This window comes from Homo sapiens, chromosome 2, assembly GCF_000001405.40.
Source record: "Homo sapiens chromosome 2, GRCh38.p14 Primary Assembly".
Classification (NCBI taxonomy): Eukaryota; Metazoa; Chordata; class Mammalia; order Primates; family Hominidae; genus Homo; species Homo sapiens.
The window spans coordinates 155,287,097-155,301,594 of record NC_000002.12 but is presented as its reverse complement, the minus strand read 5'-3'; positions in this window follow the sequence as shown (position 1 = coordinate 155,301,594).

Below are 14,498 nucleotides of genomic sequence, written 5' to 3'. Positions count from 1 at the left end.
ACCCTGCCCATATTACCTTTTATAAGCACCATGGAGAGTGAGAAAAGTCTTGTATTCAATGGTTCAGAGATCCATGGAGTGTTAGATAATGTCAGTAAACCTACAGAGATTTTCAGGTTTCCTGGCCTGTGGAATAAGTTATGATACATGATGAGTAAGGCTAAGTGTAACCTCTCAAACTTCCTTCTGCCTGCCAAGGTAAAAACAAAAAACAGTATCATATCCTGGAGGATGGTGGTGGGGGATGGGGTGATCAAGTTTAGTAAGATTATTGTAGACTTATAGGATAAAGCAATGGTGGTCACTGTCATATATCTGATTAATTCTCTAGTCTGGCCCCTGAAAAAATATGGTAAGTAACTCTTGGATAATTATTGTAGCCTATTGCAGGCTTAACCAAGTAGTAAACCCAATCCCAGTCACTGAGGCAAATGTGGTATCACTGCTAGAGAAGAAAAATAAGGCCTCACCTACATGATATGTGGCCATTGATTTGGTGAATCACTTCCTTATTTCAAGTTTAAAAAGGGATCAGAAATTTTTCACATTTACATGGGATAGACACAATTATTCAGGCTTTCCTCAGAGTTATGTTAACTTTCCTGCCCACTGTAATTATATATATAAGTATGTATGTATGTATGTATGTATGTATGTATGTATGTATGTATCTATCTATCTACCTACCTACCTATCTATCTTTCTATTTATTCATCTATCTTTTAGAGACCAGGTCTCACTCTGTTGCCCAGGCTGGAGTGCATTGGTACTATCATAGCTCACCGTACCCTCGAACTCCTGGGCTTAAACAATTATCTGGCCTCAGCGTCCTGAGTAGCTGGAGTAGCTGGGACTGCAGGTGCACACCACAGTGACCCATTAATTAAAAAAAACTGTAGTGACCAGGTCTCACTATGTTGCCCAGGCTGATTTTGAACTTCTTTCCTCAAGTGATTCTTTCACCTCAGCCTCCCAAAGTGCTGGGATAACAGGAGTGAACTACTGCAACCAGCATGTACTAATATTATACAAGACTATCTGGCACACCTTGCCATTTCATAGATCCATTACATTGGTGACATTATGCTGATTAGACAGGATGATAAATAGGTGGCTAGTTCACTGGAGGGGCCTTAGGAAAACACATGTATTTTACAGGCTGAAAGATAATCACTATGAAGATACAAGCACTTGCCACATTGGTAGAATTTAGGGATCTTGTGATCAATAATAATCTAGTATAACTTCTCCAAAGTCAGAGACAAACAGTTGCATTTTGCATCCATTACCAAAATGAAAAACCACTGAACCAGGTGAGCCTCTTTGGATCCTGGTGGTAAACCATCTCACACCTGGAAGAAATAAGCTGCAAGTTTAGAATTGAACCTGAAGCAAGAAAGTGTTTTGTAGCAGATCCAGGTCACACTGCAAGAAGCAATGCCGATAAAATCATACATTCCAAAAGAGTCTATGGTATTAGAAGTGGTGGTGATAGAAAAAGATGCTACATGGAACTTATGACAAAGCCCAGTTCTATAGTGAAAATGCAGAAATTTGTGATTCCACAGCAAAGCTAGGTCAACCTCAACAGAGAACTGTAGGGACTTTGAGAAATCTCTCTTGGCATGTTATTGGTAGAGACTAAACACTTGATAACAGAACCAAGTAACTATGCATCTAAACTGATAGTAATGAGCTGGGTTCTGTCAGCCCTATCAAGTTGTAAATTTACACATACTTGTACATTTTAAATGGAACATCTAAGATTGAATCTAGATAGGACTTGATAGCACAAGTAAGCTGCGTGATCAGGTAAATAAAATCCATGTATTACTCTACATGTGCATAGGCACACTTTCCTCAGCTTGCAACCATGGACATATGAGGGTCATGTATCACCAACTGAGAAAGGAAAGCTCAAGTTTGTTTTACAGATGTGTCAGCTACTATGTGGATGAAAACCAATAACAGATGAGTGGAGATGTGAGTGGTGACCTGGTCAGGCAATTAGGGCAGAGGAGACATGGGGCCCTGAATCAAGAGTGTATACAAATACCTGAGCAGTGGCCACTGGCCTGGTCAATTTCTCAGGGACATGACAACAAAATAATTAGTAGATATCAGACAGAGATCTAAGGTAGAAGCATGTCTATGAACACATGATAGTATATGTGAATTTTGAAGATTTTGTATTACTTCTCAGAAAGTATCTAACATGGAAGAATCACTAAACAACCAAGTAGACAAAATTATTCAGCCAGATAAAGTTAGCCAGGCTTCATCATTGGCCATGCCAATCTGTTACAATAGGCAGAGGTATGTGATCATGGTAGTAGAGATGGGGGCTACATCTAGGTCCAAAAGTATGAACTTTTTCTTAATAAAGGCAATCTAGCTTCTGTGGCCTCTGTATTTTCCATTTTCAGCAACAGCAATCAAAACTGCAGCATTGGCCAGCTGTGGTGGCTCATGCCTGTAATCCCAGCACTTTGGGAGGTTGTGGGTGGATCACTTGAGGTCAGGAGTTCGAGACCAGCCTGGCCAACATGGTGAAACCCTGTCTCTACAAAAATTAGCCAGGTGTGGTGACACACACCTGTAATACCAGCTACTCAGGAGGCTGAGGCATGAGAATCCCTTGAACCTGGGAGGTGGAAACTGCAGTGAGCCAAGATCGTGACATTGTGCTCTAGCCTTGGCAATAGAATGAGACTCTGTCTCAAAAACAAAATGAAAGAAAACAAAAACTGCATTATTATTTTTTGTAGCTAGATTATTTTGGCAGTATCAATCAAAATGTAAATATTGCCTATTCTCTAAATTACCAATTTCACTTCTAAGAACATATACTATGAAAATATTTATGTATTTAGGCACAAATTTTGTAACATTTATGATTTGACATATAGCACACACAAATAATATTGTCCCAAAGTATTTCCATTACATTTGCAGTTTGGTTTTGTAAGAAGTCTTTCTCCCTTTCTCCTTTTTTCCTCTCCTTCTGTCTTACTTCTGTTGTTCTGCATTTGTTTTTTGATAAAGAAAAAACAAAAACTTTTAAAACATATGAGGAACCCTAGGTAAGTAACCCTAGGAAAGCTTACACGTAATATAATTTTAGACACTCTGATTTTATCTTTGGTATATGCTGCTGAAAATTTATACTAAGAGGAAATCATACTTGGAAGGCTTTATTTCCTAAGGCCTTGGTGACTCTGGGTGGGAAAACACATTTTCACATTACATGTAACTCTGGTGTGTGAAAAATGAAAACAATATATATATTTAACCCCAGAGCCTTGAAAAGCAGTTAGGAAATCCCTGAGAAAGCAAATGTGATTGTGGCTTCAACTTTGCTTGAAAGTAATTTTTCAACTGCAATCAACTTTTACCTTCCATAAGAAAGGGAACTGAAACTCAAATAAAAGTATTTCATCATGAATGTTAAATCAGGAAAGTTCTTAAAGATTATTTGATCTCAAATCTTTATTTTGTGAGTGATAAAACAGTAGTCTATTTGCTTAAGTCAGATAATAACTATCGGCTGGTTCTGTGCTCTTGACTGTGATCTCCACCCCTTGCTTATTTTACAAAGACCAAGGCAGTCACTGTAAATTTCCTTCCCTTATTTATGATGTTTTCTCTAATTTATAAAAAAATTCTACAAACTATCTTATTAAAAAATACAATTAGTGATTAAATATTTTGAAGGAGAATGACCTTTTAGTTTTAGAAATAATAAAAAATGAAAATTTTATTCCCGTTTGTTTCCTGGAAAATAGGAAATATTATGTTTATTGAAAAAAGAAGAAAATGTTTTGTCACATGCATTGGTTCGTGACTTACGTCACTATTTTCCATATCAGAGAAAAATTAGTATGCTTTTTTTTTTTAGCAATCTTTGATCTTGTAATCTAAGGTTTTATGCTGGATTATAGCAGAATTTCAACAGCAGCAGCACATTTAATTATGAACTTTATATTTTCTTTGTGGATTATCCATTAGATGGCAATATTATAATATATATTTGGAATTTTGAATCTACTTCTATGCAATGCTGAGAGAAATAGTGCTGCTTTTTTATTTTCATAGTTCTAAAATAAGATTTATGATGGATGCTACCTTATAGTTTAAGGATGACTGTGTGCAAGACAATGCTGCTGTGTGGGGCTAAACATGCTGTGCTTGAAAGCCATTTTATGACAAGTTTATACATCTTACACAAAACCTCAAGTACTTCTATCTTTTTAAACTACAGTTCAAACGGTGACTTCAACCTTTGTGATTTTTTATAAAATTTGGCCAACACTTAGTGAGATATACATGTGCTGTAGAAGTGGGAATTCTAGTTTATGACGTATTATTCCAATCAGTGGAGATAAAAAAGGATTTTCCTTATAATTTTTTTTAAATAATAAAATAAGCAAAATTTCAAAATAAAGTAGTGGTAAAGAATGTACTAGTGCTTAGCTATTGTGAATTGTGCAGCCTTTAGACAAATACTTAAGTCCTCTGGTCTCAGAAAGAGTACCACTCAAAATGAGGTCTGTGGACCAATGCCTTCATCACCTGCATCAGCAGCACCAGCAACACCTGGAAACTTAATAGAAGTGCAGATTCTCAAGGGATGCCCAGAACTGCTGAACTATATATTCTGTGGGTGAGACCTAGCAACCTGTAAGTTAACACACACTGTCCAGATGATTCTCATGCCCCTAAAGTTTGAGATGCTCTGCTTTAGATACCCCATTTGAAATGAGGGATTAGACTGTATTTCTGACTGAAGTCACTTTCAGCAGTTAAGTTAAATGGCTTATTAATTATAAGTGAATAAGGAAGGGAATAGTGACGATGAATGATGATGAATAACTGTAATAAAATTAATGTGATTTTATCATCTTCCCGATTGAGTTACATTTTAATGTGTCAGAGGCATAAAAAGATAAAACTATTCTTTCAACAAGAAGGTGTTCTAATATCAGAATGTATACATTTTAATTGTTAGGACTAATTCGATTACCTTCTGAAAGCACATGCTCTTCTTCCTTAATTAAATTTTTCTTATTTTGAGAGACAAGTTCTTCCTGTATTGCCCAGACTGGCCTCAAATTCCCGGGTATAAGCCTCAAATTTTCACCTCAGCCTCCTGAGTAGCTGGGACTATAGTCATGCACCAAGTGCACCAAGCTTAAAATTTGTTATTTTTTAGATTATTGTAGATTCACAGGCGGTTGTAAGAAAGGAAACAGAGATTCCGTGTACTTTTATCCCAGTTCCCCCAAGGGTAGTATCTCACAAAAGTACAATAAAATATCACAGCTAGGATATTGACATTGATATAGTAAAGATAGCTATACCCACTTCCTTCCTGTCCTTCCAATGTTCTAAGTGGATTGCTTACTTTTCTATTGTTGGTTTAAAAAATTGTATACATATTCTACATAATAGTCCTCTGTATAATACCTAGTATGTAAATATTTTCTTCCACTCTGTAATTTATCTTTTTATTCTATTAACGGGGTCTTATCCAAGTCAACAGTTTTTAATTTTGATGATGCTTAACTTAGCAATTTTTCTTTTTATGAATTGTGCCTTTGTTGTAAAGTATAAGAACTCTTTGTCTGGCCCCAGATCTTGAAGGTCCTCTACAGAAGGTTTTATAGTTTTATGTTTAAGTCTATTATGCATTTTGAATTAATTTTTGTACAGGACGTGAGATTTATGTCAAAGTTTTTTTTTTTCTTTGCCAATAGATGTAAATTACTCCAGCACCATGTGTGGAAAGGCTAACCCCTAATTGAATTGGTTTTGAGCATGTATGTTTTTATAAACAACAGTTAAAGCAGGTGGTAAAAAGGAGGATATATGAAATTGAACAAATAAAATTTTAGGAAGTTATTAGGGAAGGATAAAAGGAAATGGATTAGCGCTGAGTACATTTGTGTGTCTCATGTCAGTTTGTGTCCTTTATGAGAGCTAAAGAGGAGGGAAAGAAATAAATACCTTTGAAGGGGGACTAATCAGCATTAATCAATTATACAAGAAAGTAGAGAAAGAAAGAACATAGTGCAATAAGACTCCACAATCTGTTTAAACATATGCCTTCAGGGAGCCAACAGGAATTCCGGTGAAGATGGGTAAGCATCTTCCTTATTTATTCTGTTGTAGGCATCCTCCAAGTGGGAGCACCAGACAATGCTTTGAGATTGAGATGAGAGTGAAATAAAAACTCTTTTATTTTGCTTAAATTATCTGTAGGCGCAAAAAACTCTAAAATGTAAGTAGTATAAATCACAGTGATTCAATTAATATAATCCAGGTTTAGAAACATAATATTACTTGTTTTAAAATTTCCTCTCTTCCTTGCCTCGTCCATTCCTTTCTTTTCTCAGTCAGGTGAAAAGCCACACCACTGTTCTGAATGTTGTGTTTAAGATTCCCTTGCCTTTCATCATAATTCTATGTGCTCTTTTCCTATACTTTATATAGTTCAATTTTATATGTATATGAAGGAATTAGGCTTCCTGTATTCTCCTATAACTTGTGTTTCTCGGTCATAGCTAAGATTTTAAACATGTTTTTGTTGGTGTGCGTAGCTGTAATGCATTCATTTTCAGTGTTGTCTCACATTCTAGCCTGTAAATACAGGTGGAACCTTTAGGTCATTCCTCTTTCAGTGCTCAGTAATGTTCTTCCCAGGTGTCTCTAATGTATGCCCATTGATATTCTTGAGCAGGACTCTTGGAGCATATAAATAGCAAGAATTCCTCTAGGGTGTATTCTCAGGAATGGAAGTGTTTTGCATATCTTCAAATTTATTATGTAATGTCATTCCAGGCTTGTTGTTCTATATTACATTATCATAAGCTATTTGTTCTTCTGAATGTTCCACATCTTTTCTAATAATTGACATTTTCAGATTTTAATATTCTTGCCTATCTAGTATATGTGTGAAATGACATCTTATTGTGGTTTTATTTTTGATTCTTCTAATTTTCAATTTGATTAAAGTAAATCTTTAAAAATTATGTTGGTGCAAAAGTAATTGCGGTTTTTGTCATTACTTTTAATGCACCAACCTAATAGTTACTAGTTGTTTCTTCCTATATAGTGTCTTCACAATATTTTTCCCTGTTTTTTAATTGGATCACTTATCTTTTCCTTGTTTAGTCATTCTTTATTTATAATATATATATTATGATACATGCACACAAACATTTATATCCCTTATATAACTGAAAATATGTTTTTCTCATTTGTTGCTTGTTTTTTGGTTTGTTTTGCTGTCTCGGTGTGAGCAGAAGTCCTTAATTCCCAAACAATGACCTAAATGGTTTTTGGTTTATATATTTTTAAAGAAATTCTTCTTAGTCCTGAAGTAATAAGTACATATTCCTCTATTGTCTTCTCAAAGCTTTATAATTTAGTTGTTCACATGTAATTTTGTAGTTAAGATAATGTTTACTTTTGTCTCTGATATGAGGTATTAGTCTGGCTTTATTTTTTTTTCTATATGGACAACTAATTGTTCTAGCGACAGTTATCAAAGATTCTATCCATTACACAGTAGTCTGCAAAATCAGCTCTGTTTTAATCAAGTTCTCAAGTGTATATTTACAAATATCTATTACTGATCTTTATTCTGTGTCCACGAATCTCTCTGTCTTGCCTTTGGCAATACTACAATTTAATTTTTAGTTTTATAATGATATTCAGTATATGGTAAGGTGAAGTCATTTATGTTGTTCCTTTTCTTCATGAGTGTCTGTTATTCTCAGTTCATTTTTTTCCATGTGCATTTACAGATTCAGTTTCTACATTGCTACAAAAATACCATTGTTTTCAAATTGCATTTGGATCTATACTGAATAAGTCAAAAATAGTTTATTCAAATATTTAGTTTTAAAATCAATGAGCATAGTTTATTAATTTAGGTTTTCTTTATTTGAGTCTTCTTGAATGTAATTCTATAAAGTTTTATAATATTTTTAAAAAGTTTTGGTTATTATTTGTTAGATTTATTCCTAGATATTTTATACTTTCAATGCTACTAAAATAGATTAAATCTTTAAAAATTATTTGTTCCTGGTATTTAGAAATACACATCTTTAGAAATTAAACTTTTTATTGACCTATAATACTCATACATAAGAGAGCACAAATAAGTTTGTAGTTCAATGATTTTAAAAATTGAATTTTATATGTTGATTTTTTTAAATCTAGTAATCTTGTTAAATTATTTTTAATTCTAATAGTTACGTTCTTTTCAGTTTTCTTTTTTTATTTTATTTTATTTATTTTATATTATACTTTAAATTCTGGGATACATGTGCAGAACATGCAAGTTTGTTACATAAGTATACATGTGCCATGGTGGTTCGCTGCACCCATCAACCCGTCATCTACATTAGGTATTTCTCTTAATGTTATCCCTCCCCTAGCTCCCCCACCCACCAACAGGTACTTGTGTGTGATGTTCCCCTCCCTATGTCCATGTGTTCTCATTGTTCAACTCCCACTTATGAGTACAAAGAGGAATTGATACCATTCCTTCTGAAACTCTTGCAAACAACAGAAGAAGAGGGACTCCTCCCTAACTCATTTTATGAAGCCAGCATCATCCTAATACTAAAACCTGGCAGAGACACAACAACAAAGAAAATTTCAGGGCAATATCCCTGATGAACATCGATGCGAAATCCTCAATAAAATACTAGCAAACCGAATCTAGCAACACATCAAAAAGCTTATCTACCACGATCAAGTCAGCTTCATCCTTGGGATGCAAGGCTGGTTCAACATACACAAATCAATAAACGTAATCCGTCACATAAACAGAACCAATGACAAAAACCACATGATTATCTCAATAGATGCAGAAAAGGTCTGATAAAATTCAACACCCTTCATGCTAAAAACTCTCAATAAACTAGGTATTGATGGAATATATCTCAAAATAATAAGAGCTATTTATGACAAACCCACAGCCAATATCATACTGAATGGGCAAAAGCTGGAAGCATTCCTTTGGAAAACCGGCACAAGACAAGGATGCCCTCTCTCACCACTATTATTCAACAAAGTATTGGTAGTTCTGGCCAGGGCAATCAGGAAAGAGAAAGAAATAAAGCGTATTCAAATATGAAGAGGGGAAGTCAAATTGTCTCTGTTTGCAGATGACATGATTGTATATTTAGAAAACCCCATCATCACAGGCCAGACACTCCTTAAGCTGATAAGCAACTTCAGCAAGTCTCAGATACAAAATCAATTTGCAAAAATCAGAAGCATTCCCATATACTGATAATAGACAGAGAAGCAAATCATGAGTGAACCCCCATTCACAATCGCTGCAAAGAGAATAAAATACCTAGGAATCCAACTTACAAGGGATGTGAAGGACCTCTTAAAAGAGAACTACAAAGCACTGTTTAAGGAAATAAGAGAGGAAACAAATAAATGGTAAAACATTCCATGCTTATGGATGGGAAGAATTAATAGCGTGAAAATGGCCATACTGTCCAAAGTAATTTATAGATTCAATGCTATCCCCATTGAGCTACCATTGACTTTCTTCAGAGAATTAGAAAAAACTACTTTAAATTTCATATGGAACCAAAAAAGAGCCTGTATAGCCAAGACAATCCTAAGCAAAAAGAACAAAGCTGGAGGCATCATGTTACGTGACTTCAAACTATACTACAAGACTACAATAACCAAAGAAGCATGGTTTTGGGATACAAGGCTTCCAAAACAGATATATAGACCAATGGAGCAGAAAAGAGGCCTCAGAAACAATGCCACACATCTACAGGCATCTGATCTTTGACACACATGACAAAAACAAGCAATGGGAAAAGGATTCCCTATTTAATAAATGGTCTTGGGAAAACTGGCTAGCCATATGCAGAAAACTGAAACTAGACCCCTTCCTTACACCTTATACAAAAATTAACTTAAGATGGATTAAAAACTTAAAGTGAAGCCCTAAAACCATGAAAACCCTGGAGAAAAACCTAGGCAATACCATTCAGGACATAAGCATGGGCAAAGACTTCATGACTAAAACACCAAAAGCAATTGCAACAAAAGCCAAAATTGACAAAGGGGATCCAATTAAATTAAGGAGCTTCTGCACATCAAAAGAAACTATCATCAGAGTGAAAAGGCAACCTACAGAATGGGAGAAAATTTTTGCAATCTATCCATCTGACAAAGGGCTAATATCCAGAATTTACAAGGAACAAAACAAACAACCTTATCAAAAAGTGGGCAAAGGATATGAACAGACACTTCTCAAAAAAAGACATTTATGTGGCCAACAAACATGAAAAAAAGCTCATCATCACTGGTCATTAGAGAAATGCAAATCAAAACCACAATGAGACACTATCTCATGCCAGTTAGAATGGTGATTATTAAAAACTCAGGAAACAACAGATGTTGGAGAGGATGTGGAGAAACAGGAATGCTTTTACACTGTTAGTGGGAGTGTAAATTAGTTCAACCATTGTGGAAGACAGTGTGGCAATTCCTCAAGGATCTAGAACTAGAAATACCATTTGACCCAGCAATCCCATTACTGGATCTATACCCAAAGGATTATAAAACATTCTATGATAAAGACAGATGCACATGTATGTTTATTGAGGCACTATTCACAATAGCAAAGACATGGAACCAACCCAAATGCCTATGAATGATAGACTGGATAAAGAAAATGTGGCACATATACACCATGGAATACTATGCAGCCATAAAAAAGGATGAGTTCATGTCCTTTGCAGGAACATGGATGAAGCTGGAAACCATCATTCTCAGCAAACCAATACAGGAACAGGGTTATTTTCATAACGTTCTTTTGTCTTGTTTATGTCTCAGCTATGTAGTTCTTTCACCTGTGCCATTCCTGTTGTATAGTTCGTGTGTGTCTGTCTTTTCTTTATGTCTTGATCAAACTTGCCTGAGGTTTATCACTTTTATTTATTTATTTTTCAAAGTGTCCATTGGCTTTCTGAAACAATCTATTCTTAACTCACCTTTTAAAAAAGGTTTAATTATTGTGGTTAGATAGTAGGTGTATATATTTGTGGGGTACATGAGACGTATTGATGTAGACATGCAATATATAATACTAACATCATGGAGAACTGTGTTTATGCCCTGTGCTACAAATAATCCAATTATACTCTTTTAGTTATTTTAAAATGTACAATTAAATTATTAATTTTGGTTTTCATTGGCATGGAATATATTTTCCATCCCTTAATTCAGTCTAAATGTGTCTTCATAGGTGAACCATGTTTCTTGTAGGCAAAAGATCACTGGGTGTCATTTTTTTTAATCCATTCATCCAGTCTTTGTCTTTTGAATGGAGAGTTAAGTGTATTTATATTCAATGTTATTATTGATGAGCAAGAACTTACTCCTGCCATTTTTTAATTTGTACTTTGGTTGTTTTGTGGTCTTATCCTCTTTCTTTCCTTCCTGTATTCCTTTCAGTGAAGATAATTTTTCTCTGGTGATATGATTTAGTTTCTTGCTTTTTATTTTTTGTGTATCTCTTGTGTGATTTTGGATTTGAGGTTACCATGAGACTTGCAGACACTATCTTACAATTAATTATTTTAAACAGATAACAACTGAATGCTATTTGCATCAACAGTCAAACAAAAAGAAAACTAATAAAAACACTATGCTTTAACTTTGTGCCTCCACTTTATAACTTTTTGTTGTTTCTAGTTATATCTTATTGTACTCTCTATGTCTTGAAAAGTTGTTCTGGTAATTATTTTTGATTGGTTAATCATTTAGTCTTTCTACTTCGGATGAGAGTATTTTGCACACCACTGTTACAATGTTATAATATTCTGTGTTTCTCTGTTTACTTACTATTACCAGTGAGTTTTTATTTTCAGGTGATTATTTATTATTCATTAATGTCCTTTTTTCTGATTTAATAACTATCTCTAGTATTTCTTGTAAGACAGATCTGGTGATGATGAAATATCTCAGTTTTTGTTTAACCTGTAAGTCTTTATTTCTCCCTCAAGTTTGAATAATATTTTCACCAGATATACTATTCTAGCGTAAAATTTTTTTTCTTCAGTGTTTTAAATATGTCATGCTATTCTCTTGTGGCCTGTAAGATTTTCGCTAAAACATCTGTTGCCAGACATATTGAAGCTGTATTGTATGTTGTTTCTTTTATCTTGCTGCTTTTAATATCCTTTATTTATTCTTGATCTTTTGGAGTCTGAATATTAAATGTCTTGAGGCAGTCTTAATTGAGTTGAATCTGCTTGGTGTTCTGTAATCTTCCTGTACTTGGATATTGATATCTTTCTCTAGGTTTGGAAAGTTCTCTCTTATTATCTCTTTGAGTGAACTTTTTACCCCTCTCTTTCTGTACCTCTCTATAAGACCAATAAGATTTGCCCCTTTGAGGCCATTTCCCAAATCCTTTATGCATGTTTCTTTTTTAAAAAATTTTGTCTCATCTGTGTATTTTATAATAGTCTGTCTTCAAATTCAGTAATTCATTCTTCTGCTTGATCAATTCTGCTGTTAAAAGACTAATGCATTCCTCAGTATGCCAGTTACATTTTTCAGCTCCAGAATTTCTGCCTGGTTCTTTTTAATTATTACAATCTCTTTGTTAAATTTGTCAGATCAGATTTGAATTCCTTCTTTGTGTCATCTTGAATTTCTTTGAGTTTCCTCAAAACAGTTATTTTTGAATTTTCTGTCTTAAAAGGTCATATATCTCTATTTCTCCAGGATTGGTCCCTGGTGCCTTATTTAGGTCATTTGGTGAGGTCTTGTTTTCCCTGATGGCATTGATGCAAAGAACAAAGATGTTCTTTGGTGTCTGGGCATTGAAGAGTTAGGTATTTATTTTAGTCTTTGCAGTCTGGTCTTGTTTGTACCAGTCCGTCTTTGGTGATATTTGGAAGGACTTTGGTGCTCTGATCTAAGCTGTAGATGCTTTAGGTGGCACCCCAGCCCAGTACTGCTGTGGTTCTTGCAGACTTGTATAGGTACTGCCTTGATGTTCTTTGACAAAATCTGTTGAATTATCTGGATTACCAGGCAGAGACTCTTGCTCACTTCCCTCAATTTCTCCTAAACAAACAGAGTCTCTGTCTCTGTTTTGAACCACCTAAACCTGGGAGTGGAATAACACAAACATCCACCATTATGACTGCGCTGGGTCAGACCTGAAGCCAGCACAGCACTTGGTCTCACCCTGCTGTAACTACTCTTTGGCTACTGCCTATGCTCGCTCAAGGCCCTTGGGAAATACAGTCAGCAGGTGGCAAAGTAAGCCAGATCTGTGTTCTTTCTTTCAGGGTGATGAGGTCACCCAGGGCCCTAGTTGGGTCTAGAGGTGCCATTCAGGAGCCAAGAACTAGAGTCAAAAGCCTTAGAAGTCTACCTGATGTTCTATTATATTGTGGCTGAGCTGGCACTCAAACCAGAAGATGCACTCTATCCCACTCTTCCTTCCCCTTTCCAAAGACAGAGGAGCTTCACCTTGTGGACAACACCACCACAGGCCCATGGGAAGTACTGGAGACTACCACTGACGTTTCTTGAAGGCCCAGAGGCCCTTCAGTAAGCTTCTGCTAAATGCTGCCTGGCCTGTGACACCCTTCAGGGACAGTGGCATCCCTTCTGGCCCAAAACAGGTCCAAAAATGCCATCCAAGAGCCAAATCCTGGAATCAGGCACCCGAAGAAGACACTTAGTGCTCTACTCCACTGTGGCTGAGCTGGTACGTATGGTGCAAGACAAGAGTCCCCTTTACTGTTACCTCTGTTTTCTCAAGCAGGAGTCTTGCCCTGTAGCCACAGCTGGGAATGTGCTGAGTTTCACCTGAAGTCATTAAATATCAGAGCCACACCCAAGTCCCTCAGTGTCGTATCCGTGTTATCACTGCTGGTTATTCAAGGGCCAATGGCCCTTCAGTTAGTAAGTTGTTGTAGATATCTCCTTTTGGATAGAATTAAAGATTTCTTAAAGTTCTGCAAGGACTAATGCTGAAACTCACAGCTCAATTGCTTACTGGAAAGAAGCTGCAGACCCAAGTTTATGCTCTATTTTCAGGGCAACTGACACCAATGCTTGGTCAATGAAGTTAGATTATAAAACTTAATTTTTTACTTTTTCCAGCCCTGATTTCCTGAGTAGAAAATGAAGCTTTAGCCTGATGACCAGCTCAGGCACAGGTACATTAGTTTTGGGCAAAGATATTGAGCAGAAACCTTTCTGACATTACAATTCCACTAATCCCCTTGCCAAATTACTTTCCCATTCTCTTCTTCTTAAAAAGTGACATCCAAAGGATTTGCCCATTATTTTACTGGTTATGTGCAGACAGGTCTGAAATCTGACTGAGATTCAAATTTGGACTTTGTTTCAATTTTCAAAACCCATATAGAATAGTGTCTAAAAGATCAGGCTCTGGTGCCAGTCTAAATCTGCATATATTC